This window comes from Homo sapiens, chromosome 15, assembly GCF_000001405.40.
Source record: "Homo sapiens chromosome 15, GRCh38.p14 Primary Assembly".
Classification (NCBI taxonomy): domain Eukaryota; kingdom Metazoa; phylum Chordata; class Mammalia; order Primates; family Hominidae; genus Homo; species Homo sapiens.
Window position 1 is genome coordinate 75,685,006 of NC_000015.10, and position 18,887 is coordinate 75,703,892.

An 18,887-nucleotide genomic window follows, 5' to 3' on the forward strand; every position below is an offset into this window, starting at 1 on the left:
CATTTTCCATTGGTAGAAAATGGGGACCATAAGTTCTGGCTCCGAGGAGTTGTGAGGAAGAAAAGATATATGGTATTTAAAGCATAGGTGCTTCTGAAATGTGACTCCCCGTCTCCTCTCTGTGTATAACCCCCAGACTGGGAGTCCCCAGGGCTCCCTCCACTCTGCCCCCAGAGCTGGGCTGCAGCCCCTGGGCCTCTCTCACAGCCATACCATTCTCCAGGAGAAGGCGCTGAGGGTCCTGGCTTGAGGTCCGTCCTCCTTCTGCAGGGCTCCATGCTGGGGTGGCTCCAGCACCTGCAGGCTGAGGCCCAGGAGAGTGGGGAAGTAGGGCCCGGAGACACGGAGCAGTGGAGGGGCCAGGGTGAGGCTGCCACCCTCAGGGACGCTGAAGTTTTGCGCCTCTAGTGGGATGGCAGCGGGCAGCACCTCCAGCTCCACAAGGACGCCCTCGAGGGGAGCACCCAGGCCTGAGGCCACATCCAGCGAGAAGGCATCGCTCCAGGCCTCAGGGCGGGAGTGCAGGTACAGGACCCTGCCTGTGTCCACTGCCTCCTGGGAGAAGCTCTGCACAGGGTCCAGGCTGGGTGGCTCATCTGCCAAGGCGCCACGCGACACCATCACCAGGTAGCCGGCACTCGGTGGGCTCTTCACTGAGAATACGATGTCTGCAGGTGGCACTGCCTCCTGGGCTGCCTGGTTAACAGAGGTCACAAGGACTCACAGGGGGCCACAGAGGGGGTCTCAGAGGGGTCCACTGTGGCCCTAAGAAGCCGGAACAGGCTTGATCTTGCCCCACTTATTCCTCTAGATACCACTGCTCATTTAGACACACAAACACACACGTGGGTTCACACACACAGCAGCCAGACATGCAGCTGGTCACATTTTTTGTTTTTTGAGACAGGGTCTCACTCTGTCACCCAGGCTGGAGTGCAGTGGTACAATCACAGTTCCTTGAAGCCTCAACTTCCCAGGCTCAAGGGATCCTCCTACCTCAGCCTCCCAAGTAGCTGGGACCACAGGCATGTGCCACCAGGCCCGGCTAATTTTTAAATTTTTTGTGTAGAGATGGGGTTTCACTGGGTTGCCCCGGCTGCTGGTCACATGTTAATGCCCACCCCACACACGGTTGCAGGGGGTCGGTCACACAGCTTGAGATGCACTCCCTCAGGGAGGTGCATAATCACATGTCCCCAGACTCAGTGACACAGACACACGAGTTCATCATATGCTGACGCAGTCACACATGTACACATGCGTGTGTGCACACACACACACACAGGCCCCCCTGCTCAGGATCCGTTCAGGCCTGTGGCTGGTTTGCAGGCAGCACCTCCCCAGCCCCTGCTATTACCACCCAGGACCATCAGAGGGCGCCCCGCCCCACCCCTCCTGGAGGCACAGCCGCCTTCAGCTCAGGCCCTACAGAGCTCACGCCCCAAAGGCCACACGGGCTCCCTCACCTGATGGGCCAGCCACAAGAGGCCAAACCACCCCCCAAACTCACATTCCTGTTCTATGCATTTGCCCGGAATGTTCCTTCTGCCTGGAATACCACTCCCCATTCTCTGCTCCTGATGGCCTGTGCTCTTCAGAGCCCGGCCCAAACGCTGCCTCCTCCCGCGAGGCCTTCCTGACTCCAGATCTGCTGGCTTGCTGTCGGCCCCAAGCTCCAGACATGCAGACCAGAAGGGTCTCCGAAATGAGCAGTGTAGGAGAGTAAGGCCAAGAGCGGGCAAGGACTGGCCTGAGGTCACAGGGCAAGTCAGTGAGCCTGCTGGAGGGCCCGTGGTTGCTCTGTGGGGTTCCTGGGTGGGCAGAAGCCACCCAGGTCTGGGCTCTGAGAAAAGAGTGGGGGACATGAGGGTCTGAGGAGTAGCGGCCTGTCTCCACGGTCAGCAATCCCCAAAGCTCAGGACCCGTGATGTCCTCCCAGGGAACTGACTGCAATGGAGATTCTCGGGCTCCACGTCAGAGATTCTGTAGGGCTGGGTGGGGTCCAGGAATCTGCATGCTCAGCCATGTCATACACATGAGTGGACACAACCTCTGGAGGCGCACACAACTCCCAGGAGGATGGGTGTATAGCAAGCTCCCCAGAAACTCCTGGGAGCACAACATATACGGGAGCACATCTGAGGCACGTGCACACATGTAACCTGGAGCCACCACAGCCACAGCCCAAGTCACGTGTGTTCCTGGCATGGAGGCTGGGAGAAGGCCCTCTACCTGGCCCACACCCCTGCTCACCACCTCCAACTCCTCACCTCCAGCTGGTCCCTTCTGATCTCAGCTGCCTCTCCCTGGAAGACGTAGATCTTCTTGTGCCGGACCAGCTTCAGTGGGGCCAGTGGGCCCTCTAGGGCAATGGTCACTTGTAGGGTGGCATCCGTGTGCACTGGCCCTGCTTCCACGGAGAAGGCCATGGTGTCGCGGGGGCTGAGGCTGCCATTGTGGCTATAGAGAACGGCCCCATCCAGCAGGTCCTGCTGGGAGAAGGCTGTGGCTGGCTGACCAGCCCGGACTAGCTGTCCCCAGCGAGGGCCAGCTGTGACGTGGTAGTGGACCTCATCCCCACTGCGGATGTCGAGGTTGGTGTCCAGGTGGAGCACGGCCGTGTCGATGGTGCCCTGGCCTCCTTGAGGGACCACAAGGCTGGAGCCGTTGGCCACACGGAGGTAGGGTTCCGAGGCCTGCACCTCCAGCAGCGCAGTGGCCTGGTGTTGCCCGTCGGACACCTGCAGCTGGATCCAGCCACGGTCAGCCCCTGAGTGCACGAACAGTACTCGCCTCTTCCTGAGGTCCTCCTGGGTGAAGCGGTAGATGGGCCGCGTGGGCTCATCTACGGCCACGATACTGCCAAAGAGGAGGTCCTTGCGGGTAAGCACCAGCTGGGCGTCAGCAAAGCCCGAGTCAGCATCGCTGAAGGCCACGTCGTCTGTAGTCAGCAGCCGCCGCCCACCCCGGGCCACATGGAAGATCCGGCTGATGGTCTGCACAGGGGCGTGGTCATTCACGGGCTGGATGGCCACTCGGAAGACACCCCGTACCTCCTCCCAGGCCATGTCACCACTGCTCTCGCCCTGGCGGGTAGCAACAAATGGGATATCATCTTCTGTGGTCTCGGAGTCATCATGCTGGTAGACCAGCCGGCCACGCAACAGGTCTTCATTGGTGAAGGATGTCACCATAGTGGTCTTGTCCTGTGTCCCACGCCAAGCCAACCTCCCATGGCGGGGCCGCTCCATGACCTCATAGAGGTAGCTGGCACTGTTGAGACTCTTGACAAAGAGGTGGTCAGCAGAGAGGACACCCTCACCACCCTCAGGCACCACGAGGAGGACATTGGTGAGGACAGGCGCATCTGGGTCACCACCAATGTGGATGGGGAAGGTATAGAGTGGGGAGAAATATGGTGGAGCTGTGACACGGAAACGGAAGGTGTCCTCGACTGCCTCTGAGGCACGTGCTGTGGCCCCATAGGTCACCCGGCCAGCCTGTATGTCATCCTGGGTGAAGCCCTGGCCATCTGACAGCCTTGTGCCCTGTAGTTGAAGGTTGCCTTTCCTGGGAGCCTGAACCACCTCATAATGGAAGGTTGGGGGGCTTGGGCCTGCCTCCTCCAGGGTGGCCTCCAGGTGGGCTGTGGTGAGGGTCTCCTGCTGGGTGTTCTGAGTGTGCAGTGGCTCCAGCCGCAGCATCCACACAGTGGCTCTCTGGATGGTCACTGGGAAGGACAGATTGCTCAGGATCTCCTGGCCCACCTGCACCTCCAGGGCCAGGTTCTCCACGGTGTCGTAAGCGTGGTGCTGTGGGTCAGTGCTCAGGTACCTCACGCGGCCCTGCTCCACATCCCGCTGGTGGAACGCCTGTGTGGCCCACCACTCAGCACCCTCCACCCCACCTGCCCCCTGCTTCTGCAGCTCCCCAAACTGCAGGGCCCCAGTGACGCGGAACAGCACGCTCACATCCTGCCCCACGGCATTGGTCTCCACCGACAGGTTGGCGGGCAAGATGGGCATGGCAGAGCCTTGGGCCAGTCGCAACCCTGTGCTGCGGTGGATCTGTATGGCCGGCCGGATGGCCACCACCTTCAGCGTGGCCGGGGGGCTGGCCTGCAGTCCATCGCTGACCCGGAACGTCAAGTCCTGTGCAGGACCACCGCGGTGGACATAGACTAGGCTGCCGGCCTCCAACTCCCGGCAGGAGAACTCGGTCGCCGGCTCCCCAGGCTGGTCTCGGCGCTCCACGGGGAGGCCAGAGGAGGTGCCAAGGACCTGGAAGGTGAGGCCCTCACAGGCAGAGTCCGGGTCATAGGCCTGGAAAACCTCAGGCCCCAGCGGCTTCTGCGTGTGTTCCAGGATCACCATGAGGCTGCCATGTGGGAAGATGATGTGGGGTGGGTCATTGACAGGGTTGACCTGGATGGGCAGGAGGTATGTTTGGCCCCTCCGAAGGCATGAGGGCATGGGCACCCGAGCCGTCACCGACACCTCCAGCACCAGCTGGTCGGAGGTGTCCTCAGAGCCATCGTGGATGAAGCGGGCCTTGCGGTTCACCACGTCCAGGAGGGTGAACATTTTTCGTGCCTGGGCTCCCGGGATGTCCAGCTCGAGCTCGCCATGGCGTGCCCCTCGGGTCACGCTGAACAGCACCTGGGATTTGCGCAGCTCAGCCTCCATCAGGTCCAGCGTGGGCTGCACATGCCTCCACTCAAGCCAGGCTGTGCCCCCCTCGGCCACCACCAGTGGGCTGATAGTCAGCAGCTGGGTGAAATTGGCAAAGACAGGAGGCAGCCCTGGCTCAGGCACGCATGGCTCAGGCAGCTCCATGGCTGGCCAAGCCTCAGGGGCCAGGGTGGAGAAAGCTTCATAATGTCCATAGGCATCGTCCTCATACTCCTCCTCCTCCAGCCTGCAGCCGGCTGCCATGTTGCGCGTCAGCAAAGCTTCCCGCAGCCCCCGCCTCTGGCCATTGACACTGAGGTCTTCCATGCAGCCCAGCAGGGAGGCATTGGTGGCCTCTGGTGTCAGGCCCAGGCGGTGTTCCTGGAGGTGACGAGAGGCCTCTGCATCCAGCCCCCCGAGAAGGAGACTGCCCCGTGGCTCCAGGTAGCTGAGGACTCCTCGGTTCGAAGTATGCGTAGGGTACTGGTCCACGGAGATTTCCAGCCGGTGAGCATTGATGTGGACACTGACCTCATGGGGCTGCCCATCGGCCACAGGCACACTGTTGTGGAGCAATACGGTACCCTGGCCCTTCTCCACCACGGCCCGCAGGTGGCCCTCAAATATGTCCACATAGATGAAGTCCCCACGCCGGCCCCCTGCCTGGAAGGCCAAGGGTGCCTGCCGGCTCTGTGTGGTGAGTGTAAACTCTAGGGTTCCTTCGTCCTGAGTGCCCCAGGCAGGGAAGGCAGCCAGAGAGTGGGGCCCAGAGAAGCCCAGGGCCACATCATCACTGGCAGAAAACTCTTCAGCACAGCCCTCATGCACATCGGGGGTCAGAGGCCGGAGGAGGCTGCGGCCATTGAGGGTGGCTGCATGGAGGCAACCCCTCAGGGGTCGGCTGGTTCCCCTCAGGTAGGGCAGGCCAAGGGTCCCAGTGCCCCCAACAAAGAGCCCATAGGGGACCTCTAGGGGGGCTCCTGGGACTGCTGAGGAGGCGTTCAGAAACCCATCGACTGACAACGTGGCCCAGCCCTCTACGACAGTCAGCACCACAGTGTGGGGGATGGAGTCACTCAGCAGCGTCTCTGCTGGAGTCTGCAGCCTCAGCTCCTCCTGGCCCAGAACAAGTCTGACCTGAAGAGAGATGGGGAGTGGGAGATAGTGGACAGCACTTTGGATCCATCATTTCCCTTATAAAAGCATAGAGCCGGGCGTGATTGCAGTGGTGGCTCATGCCTGTAATCCTAGCACTTTGGGAGGCCAAGGCAGGCGGATCACCTGAGGTTAGGAGTTTGAGACCAGCCTGGCCAACATGGAGAAACCCTGTCTCTACTAAAAACACAAAATTAGCTGGGCATGGTGGCGCATGCCTGTAATCCCAGCTACTTTGGAGGCTGTGGCAGGAGAATTGCTTGAACTCGGGAGGTGGAGGTTGCAGTGAGCTGAGATCATGCCATTGCACTCCAGCCTGGGCAGCAAGAGCGAAACTCTGTCTCAAAAAACAAACAAAAAAAAAGCATAGTGAGTTCCCCACACTTGGGGCCCCAGAGTGGAAAACCTAGGACAAGAGCCTCTGGTGCCACTCCTCTTGCCGTCCTGCCATCTCTTTATTCATCCTCCAAACACTCACCAAAGGAAACTCTGGGCCAGGGCTGGATGGGCTCTGGGGACCCTGATATGAATCAGATGTGGTCCTCGCCCACAAGGAACTGACATACAGCAAGATGCTCTCCTAGAAATCCAACCTGTGTTTTTAAATTCTTCCCCTCTTTCCTTGAGTGAGAGGTGCCAGAAATATTGTCTTGGAATCTGGATTTCAACTTTGGAATAATGGGTAACTGGGAATCCCTTGATCAGTCCCCTTCAACAGAGCAAAGTTTCTTGGGGTCATTGAAGGCAGCCAGGCTCACTGTTCAGGAATAGGCTAATTTTTAAATTAAAATTTAAATACTCTGTGTTCTGAAAAAAAGCTCCCTGACCTGGGGTGGAAGGAGATCTTGGGGAGAGATGAAGGACATAGTTCTGTCTCCATGACATTGACAGCAGAAATGGCTCTGGTACGGTGCTCCCAGATGGTAGAATGGGAGGTGGCAGAGTATGGTAACTGCAGAACCAGGGCACTAAGAACTATAATTTTGGAGTCCTGGTATGGAGCATCTCTGTAGGGGTGTGGCATCATTGTACCTACAGAACTGGACAGCCATCAGCACCAGCCTGCACCACGCTGGTGTTTAACAGTGAAAGCAGCAGACTGACCAAGCCCTAGTCCTCTCCCCATGGGGTGTGGAAGGAGATGGCTGCCCCAAATTTGTTTTTTTTTGAGACGGAGTTTGGTTCTTGTTGCCCAGGCTGAAGTGCAATGGTGCGGTCTCGGCTCACTGCAACCTCCTTCTCCTGGGTTCAAGTGATTCTCTTGCCTCAGCCTCCTGAGTAGCTGGGATTACAGGCATGTGTCACCATGCCCGGCTAATTTTTTTGTATTTTTATTAGAGACACGGTTTCACCATGTTGGCCAGGCTGGTCTCGAACTCCTGACCTCAGGTGATCCACCCGCCTCAGCCTCCCAAAGTGCTGGGATTACAGGCATGAGCCACCGCGTCCGGTTATTTTTTTCTTTTAAAAATAGAGATGGGGACTCATTGTGTGGCTTAGGCCAGACTTGAACTCCTAGGCTCGAGTGATCTTCTCACCTTGGCCTCCCAAAGTGGTGGGATTATAGGCATGAGCCACTGCACCCAGCCTGGCACAAATTCGGAATAAGACCCTGGGTTCTTAAACTCTTCATGGTTTAGGGGAAGACTCAAAAAAGCCACAAGACTCCTTGCTAACAAAGCTTGTGGTGTCTTGAAGGATGAAATGGAAAAATGAGGAAGCTGAGGCAGTACTGGTGCTGTTACTGTCGTGGACAGACCATGGTGCTGCAGAGAAATTGGTGCAGTGCCACCGGGATGCACAGGGGTCATGGGGGCTCAGGAGGGGGCCTAGCCCAGGAGGAGGGGATGCCCACACTGAGACTTCAAGGAGAGGCTGGAGTTAGGCATGTGCAGGGAACGGGAGAGGCGCACACCTGGCAGAAGGAGTGTGCATCAAGAGCCTGGCAGCAAGCGACTGTAAGATGGCCAGGAACTGAAAGCAGTTCAGGGCTGTCAGAGCACAAAGGGCCAGCGAGGGGTTGTGGCGGGAAACATGGTTGGAGGGAGCCAGTGGGCAGAGCCAGTTCATGAAGGATTTACCATTTCTGGGCTGCTGCTGCCCATCCCACAGTGGAGAACTTAAGACCCCAAGATAAAAGTGACTTACACAAGGTCACACAGCCAGCTGGGGTTCACTCAAAGCTAGAGAAGGAATCCCACCCCGAATCCCGCCCAGATCTCAGGGGGACGTCACTCACCTGCAGGCGTCCAGAGTAGAGCTGCAGCAGGAGGTGGTCAGCTGGGCCTGCTGCCAGGAGAAGGAGGGCTTCGGGCTGGGACGTGGAGAACTGCAGCTGCAGGTCTATGTCGGTCAGAGCCGTGGCCACAGGCACCTCCAGGTGGTTCTCACCGAAGAAGGAAGCTGTGTGAGAGAGGGAGCTGTGGTCAAGGCTCAGACTCTTGCCTGGAGGAGGCGAGGTGCCGCAAAGAGGGACGGGTGGGTTGCAGAAAGGGGTCCGTGCTGGCGCACCCTCATGGTTCTGCTGTATGGTGCTGCCTCTGAGCACTGCCCGGGTCCCAGCATCTTCTTGGTCCTGGCACCAGAAGGCACAGGCTCACCTTGTGTCCAGCCCAGATCTTGTATTTACAGGAGGTCAGACCCAGAAATTCCCAGCAACTCAGGTCTCCTCCTTGGAGGTTCCTGGAGCCAGAGGCCTCCGCCAGCTCTGACTCGCCTCCCCTGGGCCCCAGAGGAGTCTCCCTCGTGGGTCTGGCTCCTGGACCCAGCCCAAAGGGAACCGCAACTGGCCTGACCATCTGGCTTGGTGGTCACAGCCCCAAGGAATGGAGTTTCTGGAGAATCACCCCCAGTCCAGACTGATCCCTGCTCAGATTCCTTCTCCTAAGTGCCCTTGTGCTTGGGCTCCTGTGCAGCGCCTGCTGTGCCATGCCCCGCCTCCATGGGTTGGCTGAGGCCACGACTGGGATCTGGGGGTGGTGTCAGCATGGCCCACCTATCCCCGCTTCTCTCTCAGGCCATTCTTCCAGCTGCCATTGAGCGTCGGGGCAGGAGCTTATTGGCCTGAGTCTGCCAAGGAGCAAAGGCTCTGAGGCCAGATGGGGACCATGTGCAGTGTCAAACCAAAGTGGGCCCACACTTCCTCCATTACCCTTGCTATTGCTTCCTGCTGGAGAGCTATTCACAGTCCCCGATGAGCAGTCAGATCCGGCCCCATTGTTTCCACCGTGGCCAAGGAACCAGGGATGAGAACAGCTGAGTTCCTAACTTCCCCAGGCCACCACGCAGGCTGAGGCTGAAGACAGGGCTTGGGAGGGGCTGAGGGTCTGCTGGGCAGGCCAAAGAGGGCCTCCCCAGGCAGAAGGCCATGTCTGGGCTTGCCTGGGGTTAGTGGTTCCTATGCAGGGCCCGTTCTGTCCCATACTGGGACTCCTCCTCTTTTGAATTGCTGCTTCCTCCAGTCAGTTTCCCCAGATTAGCCTCCCTGACTTCCAACCCGCTGCCACAATTTCTGGTCCATGCCTTTTGTGGTGATAAGAGCCAAATATAACTTTGACTTTGCCTGCAGATGTCCAGGGCTGGGGGGTAGAGAAACACGGGTTAAAAACGGTGATTCATTCCTGTTGGGCTTCCCTCAAACCCGAGAGCGAGCACAGGCTGACGGCCTTGATAGGGATAATCCGGCACCAGCCCCATGTGCTGGTCCCTGGCCAGCCTGAGCCAGCTGCCATCCGCCTGAGTAAGCAGCTTCAGCCGTTGGAGGAGTCGGAGACTTGTACACCCTAAGGGCAGCCAGCCCCACTGGGAGGGATGTCCAAGAAAGATCCCGTAAGAACCCCTTGGGCTGAGTTAAATCCCCTCTAGTTATCTCCTCCTGCCAGCACTGCTGGCAATACCAGCACCTTGTCTGGGAAGCTACGGGAATCAAGGGAGCCCTGCAGACCATCTGCGCGGGGGCGGCCCAGCTGGTTCAGCAGAGCTTGGCGCCAGCAAGGGACAGACCAGGGAACTGCAGGTGGCGGCCACCTACCGGGGTGCCTTATCTGCAAAGACATTGATTCCTAAGAGCAAAACACAGCACACTAAAGTGAGGGAGGCCATAGCACAAGGGGTGGGGGCACATGGCCCTGCAGGATAGAGCCACCACCGTCACCTGCTGGAGCGGCTGACAGCAGCTGCCAGGAGTCTACTGTTGAATTTTCAGGAATTTTGAGAGCCAGGTGATACTGCCCACAGTGAGAACATTTATACCAGGAAAAGAGGCAAATACTGCAAATCAGGGTTCCCCCTCCCCAAGAAAGCCCATTGCTAAACATTTACCTATCCAGCACCCACAGAGAAGGGGGCACATGTCCCTGCCCCTACCCACCCTTGCACTAAAGGTATATGTAGACCCGCCAAGTCATGGTCAACATCAGGGCTCTGGGCCAGGCAGGAACTGAACTAGATGGTTGGCCCTAACCACTGAACCACCTGCCTGCAGCCCCCTCCCAGCAGAGGAGAGTAGAGCCTGTTTGGCCAGAGTGGGAGGGTGGCAGGAAGTAGAGGTACTTTCCAGAGCGCTGGGGTCTGAATGGGTCCATTGAGGGGCTGGGCCCTGCTGCTTCCTGTGGGGCTGAGCGGGAGGGGCTCACACAGGCTGTCTTGTGCTGCTGGAGCGCGTGGCCAGGCAGCCCCCCACCCCAACAGAGGCCTCTGAGGCCTTGCTGGCCAGGGCTCTGGAAACTCTGACAGCGCCACTCCCTCCACCTCCTGGTCTCCTTTTTTCTGCCCCTCTTACACTCTCTGAGGGGCTTCAGTTGCAAGAACTCAGAATCCCTGTCTTGGAGGTGGTGGGGGGGCAGTTGAAGAGGGGCTTCAAATGGAGAGGGTGTGCAGAATTAAGATGTAATAAGCTAGGAGTCAATCCAGAGGACTTCCTGGAGGAGGTCACGGTGGTGTACAGACACAGAGAGGGAGGAATAGGCAGTCTCAGAGGACAGCAGCAAGGCCGAGTGAGACTGGCAGGAAGTACACAGGTCCCCTTTGGGTGGGGCTAGGAGGGTTTCTGCTCCATCACCCGCTAAAGCCTCTGGCTAACTTGAAGGAAGAGAAGTAGAGGGAAAAGTAGAATGGGTCAAGCTAGGCTCGGCTGCGTGACTGGGGCGGGGGGATGGAGGAGGTTGTGGGGAGACATTGGCACAGGCTGGATCAGACCTGCCGTTGATTCTCCTGGGTCAAGAGGACCCATGATTCATCAAAACAGCAGACCAAACCTGTAGCAGCCCCATGGGCTGCCCTCTGAGCCAGGAGAAGGGGCCCACTTCAGGCCTCAGTGTCACCATTCTGTAAAATGGGCACAGTCCCTCCCACCCCTTCCCCCTCCTGACTGTGGGGATTAGTCCTGGGGGTCTCTCCCTGATCTAGGAGTTTGCTGTCCATATGGATGTGGGGAAGGTTAATGGCATGGGGTGCCTGGAGGTGCCAAGCCTTGGGCATGAGAGGAGCAGGATGCCCCACAGGTCTGGGGGCCCGTGGGAGGGGCAGGAAGAGTGCTGCGTGTATGGGTTTCTCTCTCTGGAAGGCGCGTCAGTGGGCGTCCAGGGCTGTATATTAATAGATGTGTATTTGTGTGTGCGCAAGCATGTGGGTGGCTGCTGGGGGTGTGCTTTGGGTTTGCGTAAGGCTGTGTGTTTGTGTGTGTGTGCGCGTGTGTGGGCCGGGAGCTGCCAGGACAGAGCAATGATTGTGCCCGGGCCTGTCCTGCCCTTCGGTGCCCGCCTGCCATTACTTGGCTGGGCCTGGCTCCATGAAAGGGGCTGTGTGTTCTTGGAGGGTTCCTGCCCCTCCTGCTCAGCGCCCATAGAGAGGTTTGCTAAAGGTGGGTACATCCTCAGGCTTCCCACCCTTCCTCCCCATAAACAGGGCACTGCTGTCTGGGCCTGAGGGTGGGGTGGCTCCATCCTTCTTCCTGAGATCTAGGCCTGGGGGCACAGAAAAAGCCTGTTTCCTTCCCTGCCAAGTCCCTTCTCAGGGGCTAGAGGAAACCTCGGTCAAGGTCCCCAGCAAGCCCCCTCTGTCAGGGCAAGGGCTGCGCTGGCATCTCCGGGCTCCCCGGAGGCACTACTAGGAGGAGTGTGGATGGGCCCCTGAGGCTTCCAGCCTGACACCCAGCCCTCTGTCTGACACCAGGCTCCGGGGACAAGGAGTCGCTGTGAGGGGAACATCTCTGCCCATCAGGCCCGCCTCCCCCGGCCAGGGCCCCACCTTCCCCAGCCAGGCCAGGGCCGGGTCTCAGGCACAGATGCCTCTTCCAGGCTGAGGGCTGCTGTGGGCTCTGTTCCTTCTGAGTCCTCAGAAGGCTGCCTGTGTCCCTGTATCTGCCCCATCTCTCCTTCGCCTCCGGCCATCCCTGCTGCCAGGCTCTGCCTCTGCTCCCCCTGGTCTCCCCCTAGCTCTTTGGCTCCCTCTTCCCTCTGCCCCATCCTGGCTGTCCCTGGGCACATCACCCTTTGCTCTAGGACAGTCTGGAGGGCCCCGGCCTGGGGCCCCACCCTCCATGGGTGCTGAGTCCCACAGCATCAGCATTCTCTGTAGCTCAAGCCTGCTGCAGGGCACTCAGCTTCCACCTTCCAGACAGACAAACTGAGGCTCCAGAGGAGAAGCGATTTGACGAAGAGAAGCAGAAAGAGATCCAGCAGGTCCCAGCACCACCCGTGTGAGCCCTACCCACCCAGGCACCCCCACTGTACCCCACTCTCTGGCAATGGATCCCTGTGTGCCCCACTCCCGCCATGTTCCTGGTTGCCTGGGGGCAGCCCCACAGCCAGGCTGCGTCATGGGAGCAGCAGCATTCCTGGGTGTCTGCTGCTGCCTGACTTTATAAGGGAGAAATTCTGGGAGCCCGGAGCTGCTGGCCCGTGGGGAGTGCCTGGGCCCGTAGTTGAGGGTGAGGGCAGGAGACCTGGACATCTGTATGTGGGGGAGGGACACCCAGTGCCACAGAGACAGAGCAGGAGGTGAGAGGTGGAATGCGTAATAGAGACCCATTCATTCATTCACTCAATCACAAATACAGCAATACAGTGATGGGAATGGAAGAAGACAGCTAACATGGGAGAAAGTTATTAAAACTGAGAAGGAGAAATCAAGATGCCCTCCTCCATAAAGACTGGATTCACATACAGACCAAGGCCTGAGGAAGGAGACGGAGGAGGAAAACTCGAGGGAGACAGAGAAGGCGGGATGTTGGCAGCAAGCCTGCTGCTGTGCACAGGAGTGAGGAGGGGATGCCCAGCCAGCCTGCTGGGGAGGGAGGGCCCTGCTCCAAGACGAAGCCAGACTTCTCCATCACCGCCCCTCGGGGTTTGGCACCACGGCGGGAGATCCTGGCTCCAGGTCTGGGCAGGCAGGGGTGAGGGAGTCTGAGGGGGCTGTGGGATGGGGTATTCTGGGAGGGCCAAGGCCGGGATGAAGGGCTCTCTGTCTCCCCTCATAGGTGTGTATGTGGTGGGGCGGGGGGTGGTCGTGGCCCACCTGGGGGCTGAATGCCGGCTCTGTGAGAGCATGGACGGGCCAGGTGTGCTTCCCCAGCAGCGGACCCTCCCTGAGGTCACCTGGCCCTCTAGACCTCAGGTCAGTTCCCCTCCCCTCCCCTTGCACCTCCAAGGGACTCCCCGATTTTACTTCCGCCACCAATCTACTTCCAACCAAGCAGGCAGGGCATGGGTGAGTGTGTGCAGGAATGTGGGTCAGTGTCACATGTACACACGTGTGTGGCGGCAAGGCAGGCGAGGAAGGGGTGCGCTGGGTCCCTGGTCTGGCCCCACTGTGGGCCCTGGATACCGAGACATAACTGGGGGTCCCCTCCCCAGCACATTGGTCTCCCTGGGCTCCTCAGGCAAGGGAGAAGCTGTCTGGTGTGCCTACTCAGGGGTGAGCCCCTCTCAAACCTCCTCCCAGCAGACTCCCCAAGGCTCAGCCACCCACACTGAGCTATCACCTTCACCCAACCCTGTTACTCTGAGGGTAACAAGGGGGTAGGTTACAGGGGAGACTTAAGGTCAGACTAAGGGGAGCGACCTGCCCAGTGATGACACTGGGGTCACCAGGGCCCAGGCCTAGAAGGCTCATCACTGGCCAGGGTGGGCTGCCTGGGAGACGCTCACACACCTGCAGACCCCTCAGGGCTCACTGCTCTTTAGCAACTCTTCCTGGCTGCTTCCAGACTGGGATTCCACCACCCAGGGCCATCCCCGCGGCCCAAGGACTGCCTGCTCCTCTCCTGTCCCGTGAGCTACCGAAATGCGGACAACAGTAGGTTAGTTCCAAATCCCATGGAGCTTACAACAGCAGCCATCATCTCAGGAGACACTGCTTTATCCCAGTGGGGTGCTGGAGTGCTAGGCACCTGCTCAGGTGACTGCCTCCACGTCTAAATGCTGCAGAGACCTCTGTCGGGGTCAGGGCAGCACCAAAAACTCTTGAGCCAAGAGACACACACTCAGGTCAGCTGACCTTCTGTTTAGTTGCCTTTCTGGTCCCTTGCAAGGCCAAGGGGGCCAGGGAGGAAAACAGTTTCCTCAGCTATTGGCTGGGCCCTGACCCTGGTCACTGGCCTCAGCTACCATCCTCTAACCAAGCGCTTTGAGTCACCCACGTAGAGGGGCATGTGCTGGGGAACATTTCCAGTTGAGGGAACCCGTCTGGAAGATGAGTGGAAGCAGGGGCAGGTGGGGTGGGAGAAGCTGAGCTTGGTCCACAGAGGCTGATAGGGGCTGCACCCTGGGCTCCCAGCCACATGTCCCAACCCTGGGGCCTTGTGGAGCACAGAGGAAGCAGGAGGGGAAATGAGAGGTTTTGAGGGAAGAAGCAGCCCAGAGTCCACCCAGGCGGGAGGGCTGGGCCGGGGGAGGAGGAAGCGGGGCCTCAATGGTGTCTTTGTGGAAGTCTTGCTGCTCCCCAGGCCTCAGGCGAGGAGGGTGGGGTGGCTGCGGTGGGGAGCGGTTCCAAGAGGCTTTTCCCTGCCTTATAATCTTCCCTCTTGGACAGGGAGATGGGTGGGTTTCCAGGCTCCATCCGTACCCTCCTTTCCCCCACTTTCCTGGCCCTAGAGGACCTGGGACCCTCACCTCAGTGGACCCAGGCTGGGGTAGGGTTTCTGGCAGGGAAGAGAAGAGTGAAGGACCCTCACTTGGCACTGGGCCTGCACAGCCCCCCAGCCCTAGCAGGGCTCCTGGGAGGCATCTCCCATGTTACAGGTGAGGAAACTGAGGCTCAGAGAGGGCAGTCCTCCGTGCTAGCCTGTGGAGCAGCGGCAGGGCTGGGACTTAAGCTCCTGTGGGTGTGGCTCCAGAGCTAGGGGCTGTGGGTGTCAGCAGGGCACATGCACCGTGTGTGCACCCAGAGAGGCGTGGTGGGTTTGCTTGCTGCCTGTGAATCGGAAGTGGAGCATCTGCCAATGGCCCCAGTGGGAGGAGGGTGTGAGAGCTGGACCCCAGCCTGGGGAACACACACTCTTTCCCTTCCTGTCCCCTGGGACTCTTCTGTCAGGGCCGGGTGGAGGGGGCAGCGAGGAGGGGGGGACAGCGAGGAGGGGAGGGAAGCATCTGCTCTCCTTGGGCGGTTTGGCAGCCCCTCCTCTGTGGCTCTGGGGCTGGCCGAATCGGGAGGGCCCTTCTGCAGGGGCTGGCGGGGGATGACTAGGTCCAGAAGCCAGTGATAAGTGCCAGCCCTGCCCACTGGTGACTTGGAGGTCTGGGAGGAGGGTGGAGAGACAGGGGTCTGGGTGGGAGCTGCCCCCAGGAGGCTGAGGGCCAGGCTCTCTCCTGGGCTGTGTCCAGGACCAGGCAGCCCATGGCTCATCTCTGAGTTCCCCTTGGCTCTGGCAGCAGAAACTGCTGAAGACAGGGCTGCTGGGGCGGCGTCTCGGGGCTTCCCCAGCCTGGCGGGCTGGGTCTGGAGATAGTGAGTGTGTGAGTTGGGATGGGGGAAGAACAGAGGAAATGGTGACTGTGGGTCTGGACGGCTGCCTGGACCTGAAATCTGGTGGCACAACTTGTGCACAGTAGCCTTGTGTGCCTCCTCCTCAGTTCCCCCATCTGAATACAGAGGGTGGGCTCACCCCACAGACAGAAGTCCATGTCCAGGGCAGAAGCCTGGGTCAGGGCTCACACCCCCAGCACACACACAGGGCTCAGAGCCATGTGCTTCCATGCTTTCCCTGGCCTCAGTGTCCCCATCTGTAAAAGGGGACCTGGATAGAGGGACTGACACACATCTGGCCTCTGACCAGCCCAGCAGACTGGCAAGAGGTGTGGCCACTACCGTGGGTACAGTAGAGCCACCTCTGGCCTAAATGGCCACAGGTCTAGCCAGACTGGAAGCTCTTGAGGACAGGACCAGGGCCCACATCTCCTTCCCAGGGCATCTGTGCAGCAAGAAGGCCATGGACCTGTGATGAGGGAGGTGATGTCAGCATCTAAGGGAACGAAAGGATCAAATGAGATGGCATTTGTCCCGTGTGAGGGTTTTTCTATCAGGCAGAGCTGTCCCACCACAGCAAGTCCCAGCACTGGTGGTGCTCCAGTGGGAGGGCGTTGCCGGGGGGTGCACCAGGAAACCTCAGTGTCCTTGCTAGTGAAGCTCTGGGCTACCCAGGCCCATCAGAGATCCCGAGACTGAGACCTCTCTTCCTGGGCAGGCCTGACTCCTCCTGGAATAGGTTCCTGCCTAGCACCCCCACCTGCCAACTGCCTGGAAGCCTGCAGCCTGTGGGCCCCCCCTGGAGCTGTGCCCACCGCCACCACACTCCCTCTGGCCCTCCTTTTCTCTCCCGGCCTCAGGCCCAGCCTCTGCTAATGCACCACGTCTCTCTCACTGGCACCAACTCTCCAGGGCTCCAGGCCCACTGCCAGTGTCCCTCAGATGTCCATGGCAGGAACACCCACAGGAACCCCCAAGCCCAACCCCACCCAAAGCAAGGAGGACTCAGTGTACTCTCCCCTACAGCTGGCTCGCCAGCCCCGTGAAGGCCCGACTGTCCACCTGTTGCTGAGTAGACATCTGAGGGTCGCACTGAACTCTCCTCCTCCTCCCTCCCCACAGCCACTGCTGATTAATACTCAGGTTCCATCCATCCAGTCCCCAAATTCTCCTTCAACTTCATCTTCCTCTCTTGCTCCCTGGTCCATCCATAAGGCGGCTGGCCACCGTCCTCGGTCTGGCTTAATCAATCTCCTGACTCCCTTTGCTAATAGCAGCCCCAGTTAACCCAAACTGAAAGCCACTCCCTCAGCCTCCCTTGCCTTTGGTGGCTCCCATTGCCCCAGGGTCAGGCCCCCACCCCCGGGTGGCACTGAAGGCCAGGGTGCCCTCAACTCTGCCTGCAGGGTCTCTTGCTCTCTTCCAAGGACACTCCACGCCTCCGTCTCACTAGACTCTGCACTGACTCCGTGCACACCTAGCAGGGCCGACCTGCTGCCTTCGCTCAGGCTGGGCCTGCTGCTGGGCCAGCTCTTCTCTCCTGTCCACCTGTGAAATGTCCTCATGCTCTTTCAGGAAAAAAGCCCAAAGCACCTTCTGTGTCCTTGGGGTGCAAAGACACTCGCTGCGGCCCAGGGGGCTGTGCTGTTGTCACCTCTCTCCATTTACACTGTGAGCCTTGGGGACAAGACTGACCTTGCTTGGGGACAGGACGTGGGAGGAAAGGAGGGAGGGGCCCACCAGGGCATGAGGGCCATGGGCCCAGTGGGAGGGGCTGCCTCTGGGAGCTCGCCCCAGCCCTCCCCACCTTGTCTTACCTCCAGTCTCCTTTCCAGGCCTCCTCTGCCCTCCAGAGCCCCAGGGCTCAGAGGCAGGGGACTGGACACTATGGCCTGGGAGGGCTCGAGGGACTGCCAGAGCCAGAGACTGCTTTTCTGGGCCTGTGGTGACAGAGTCTGGTGCTTGTTTTTAAAGAAAATAGAATCCGAGCCCCTATTTATAGCCGGAGGCCACAGCCACAGACAGAAGACGGATGGGGTTTGAGGCTTACAGGCCCCTGCTCTAGCATGGACTGGGAGGTGGGGCCATTCCCAGGCCCCCCTGCCCGCCTTTGTCAACCCCCAAGGAAGTGCCTGTGGGATCCTGACACTCCCTGGGACAGGATGTAGCCTGCACTTTGGGGCACGGGAGGACCTGGTGAGGGGAGCGGAACATTTCTCAGGATTGGTCCCTGGGGCCCAGAGTCCCTTGTGGGAATGGGAGGAGGTGAGGGTCTGTTATGTCTACTGAGAAGGCAGAGAGGGCCCTGGGGACGGGTGGGGTGCTGGCGGCAGGGAGCACTTCTGACTGCCGTGGAACCCGGTAAAGGAGAAGGGAAGGAGAACAGAGCAGGACTGGAGAGATGGGCAGACAGACAGAGAGACAGGGTAGGAAAGACAGACAGAAAGAGATGGAGGAACCACAGCCAGGGGTGGGAAAGGACAGAGAGATGGAGAGAGCGGGATGGGGGGATGGACTGAGAGATCGGGGGTGCTCTGCAGCCCGGGTGACCCTGCGCAGGGGCAGACAGAAGCCGTGAGGGGAGACTGAAGTGTGGCTTCCGTCCCATAGAGTCTTCATGGTGCTCCAGGCAGCGTGGTCAGAGTCCGGGTGGAGCCGGTGAGGAGGGAGGAAGCAGGCGTCTCTGTGGCCTCGCCCACCCCCAGCCTCCAGGGTCTAGGGGCTGGAGACCCTCCGTTCCCGGCAGTCTCCACGGGGAAGGCCCAGGCCTGTTGGAGGCAACGCAATGCGGTGGGGCAGAGCCCAGATTGACCTTGTCACCAAGATCCCCAAGGGCTGTCTTGGGCACGGCCGGGACCTTGAGGGACAGGTCTGGTCTCTGGCTTGTTATGGAGTGAGTTCCCTAGGCCTGGAGGGCTCACAAGCTAAGGCTATGGCCTGGACTCACACCTGCTGCCAGCCTCTACGCAGACCCCTCCCTTGGCTGCGCTTGTAGGGGCTGTGGGGTAACCGTAGCCTGGGGCATGTGTCATGGAGCCACAAGCAGTGACTCAGACAGTTAAAAAAGGAGCAGCTCTGAGTGGTGACTCAATTGGCTCT

At 59.6% G+C, this 18,887-nt stretch overlaps 1 protein-coding gene across 2 annotated transcripts in view, besides 14 other annotated features; it reads right to left on the reverse strand.

Moving 5' to 3' along the window:
* The window catches only part of CSPG4 (chondroitin sulfate proteoglycan 4), a 39,145-nt gene that overhangs the window by 10,684 nt on the left and 9,574 nt on the right, over positions 1-18,887 (reverse strand). For both annotated transcript variants that reach the window (XM_047432196.1, NM_001897.5), the window contains exons 2-4: positions 8,065-8,228; positions 2,271-5,807; positions 214-696 (exon numbers count right to left, since the gene is read on the reverse strand). In XM_047432196.1, coding sequence (XP_047288152.1) covers positions 214-696; positions 2,271-4,997 — 3,210 coding nt within the window. In that variant the 5' untranslated portion in view covers positions 4,998-5,807; positions 8,065-8,228. The remainder of the gene's footprint in view (positions 1-213; positions 697-2,270; positions 5,808-8,064; positions 8,229-18,887) is intronic.
* Positions 1,176-1,681: an enhancer, noted in NCBI's record as "H3K4me1 hESC enhancer chr15:75978522-75979027 (GRCh37/hg19 assembly coordinates)". NCBI's record gives its function as "activates a minimal SCP1, AML or CMV promoter by ChIP-STARR-seq in naive H9 embryonic stem cells {active_cell/tissue: H9 hESC(naive)}" and the evidence as "EXISTENCE:reporter gene assay evidence [ECO:0000049][PMID:30033119]".
* Positions 1,682-2,186: an enhancer, noted in NCBI's record as "H3K4me1 hESC enhancer chr15:75979028-75979532 (GRCh37/hg19 assembly coordinates)". NCBI's record gives its function as "activates a minimal SCP1, AML or CMV promoter by ChIP-STARR-seq in naive H9 embryonic stem cells {active_cell/tissue: H9 hESC(naive)}" and the evidence as "EXISTENCE:reporter gene assay evidence [ECO:0000049][PMID:30033119]".
* Positions 7,856-8,606: an enhancer, noted in NCBI's record as "H3K4me1 hESC enhancer chr15:75985202-75985952 (GRCh37/hg19 assembly coordinates)". NCBI's record gives its function as "activates a minimal SCP1, AML or CMV promoter by ChIP-STARR-seq in naive H9 embryonic stem cells {active_cell/tissue: H9 hESC(naive)}" and the evidence as "EXISTENCE:reporter gene assay evidence [ECO:0000049][PMID:30033119]".
* Positions 9,323-9,617: a silencer, noted in NCBI's record as "tiled region #4583; K562 Repressive DNase matched - State 5:Enh". NCBI's record gives its function as "represses a minimal TATA promoter and a strong SV40 promoter by Sharpr-MPRA in K562 cells {active_cell/tissue: K562}" and the evidence as "EXISTENCE:reporter gene assay evidence [ECO:0000049][PMID:27701403]".
* Positions 9,323-10,105: a biological region, named in NCBI's record as "Sharpr-MPRA regulatory region 4583".
* Positions 9,356-10,105: an enhancer, noted in NCBI's record as "H3K4me1 hESC enhancer chr15:75986702-75987451 (GRCh37/hg19 assembly coordinates)". NCBI's record gives its function as "activates a minimal SCP1, AML or CMV promoter by ChIP-STARR-seq in naive H9 embryonic stem cells {active_cell/tissue: H9 hESC(naive)}" and the evidence as "EXISTENCE:reporter gene assay evidence [ECO:0000049][PMID:30033119]".
* Positions 9,589-9,738: an enhancer, noted in NCBI's record as "active region_9861". NCBI's record gives its function as "activates an Ori minimal core promoter by ATAC-STARR-seq in GM12878 lymphoblastoid cells {active_cell/tissue: GM12878}" and the evidence as "EXISTENCE:reporter gene assay evidence [ECO:0000049][PMID:35858748]".
* Positions 10,339-10,428: an enhancer, noted in NCBI's record as "active region_9862". NCBI's record gives its function as "activates an Ori minimal core promoter by ATAC-STARR-seq in GM12878 lymphoblastoid cells {active_cell/tissue: GM12878}" and the evidence as "EXISTENCE:reporter gene assay evidence [ECO:0000049][PMID:35858748]".
* Positions 12,355-13,104: an enhancer, noted in NCBI's record as "H3K4me1 hESC enhancer chr15:75989701-75990450 (GRCh37/hg19 assembly coordinates)". NCBI's record gives its function as "activates a minimal SCP1, AML or CMV promoter by ChIP-STARR-seq in naive H9 embryonic stem cells {active_cell/tissue: H9 hESC(naive)}" and the evidence as "EXISTENCE:reporter gene assay evidence [ECO:0000049][PMID:30033119]".
* Positions 13,105-13,852: an enhancer, noted in NCBI's record as "H3K4me1 hESC enhancer chr15:75990451-75991198 (GRCh37/hg19 assembly coordinates)". NCBI's record gives its function as "activates a minimal SCP1, AML or CMV promoter by ChIP-STARR-seq in naive H9 embryonic stem cells {active_cell/tissue: H9 hESC(naive)}" and the evidence as "EXISTENCE:reporter gene assay evidence [ECO:0000049][PMID:30033119]".
* Positions 15,140-15,229: a silencer, noted in NCBI's record as "silent region_6678". NCBI's record gives its function as "represses an Ori minimal core promoter by ATAC-STARR-seq in GM12878 lymphoblastoid cells {active_cell/tissue: GM12878}" and the evidence as "EXISTENCE:reporter gene assay evidence [ECO:0000049][PMID:35858748]".
* Positions 15,360-15,409: a silencer, noted in NCBI's record as "silent region_6679". NCBI's record gives its function as "represses an Ori minimal core promoter by ATAC-STARR-seq in GM12878 lymphoblastoid cells {active_cell/tissue: GM12878}" and the evidence as "EXISTENCE:reporter gene assay evidence [ECO:0000049][PMID:35858748]".
* Positions 15,737-16,236: an enhancer, noted in NCBI's record as "H3K4me1 hESC enhancer chr15:75993083-75993582 (GRCh37/hg19 assembly coordinates)". NCBI's record gives its function as "activates a minimal SCP1, AML or CMV promoter by ChIP-STARR-seq in naive H9 embryonic stem cells {active_cell/tissue: H9 hESC(naive)}" and the evidence as "EXISTENCE:reporter gene assay evidence [ECO:0000049][PMID:30033119]".
* Positions 16,244-17,169: an enhancer, noted in NCBI's record as "H3K27ac-H3K4me1 hESC enhancer chr15:75993590-75994515 (GRCh37/hg19 assembly coordinates)". NCBI's record gives its function as "activates a minimal SCP1, AML or CMV promoter by ChIP-STARR-seq in naive H9 embryonic stem cells {active_cell/tissue: H9 hESC(naive)}" and the evidence as "EXISTENCE:reporter gene assay evidence [ECO:0000049][PMID:30033119]".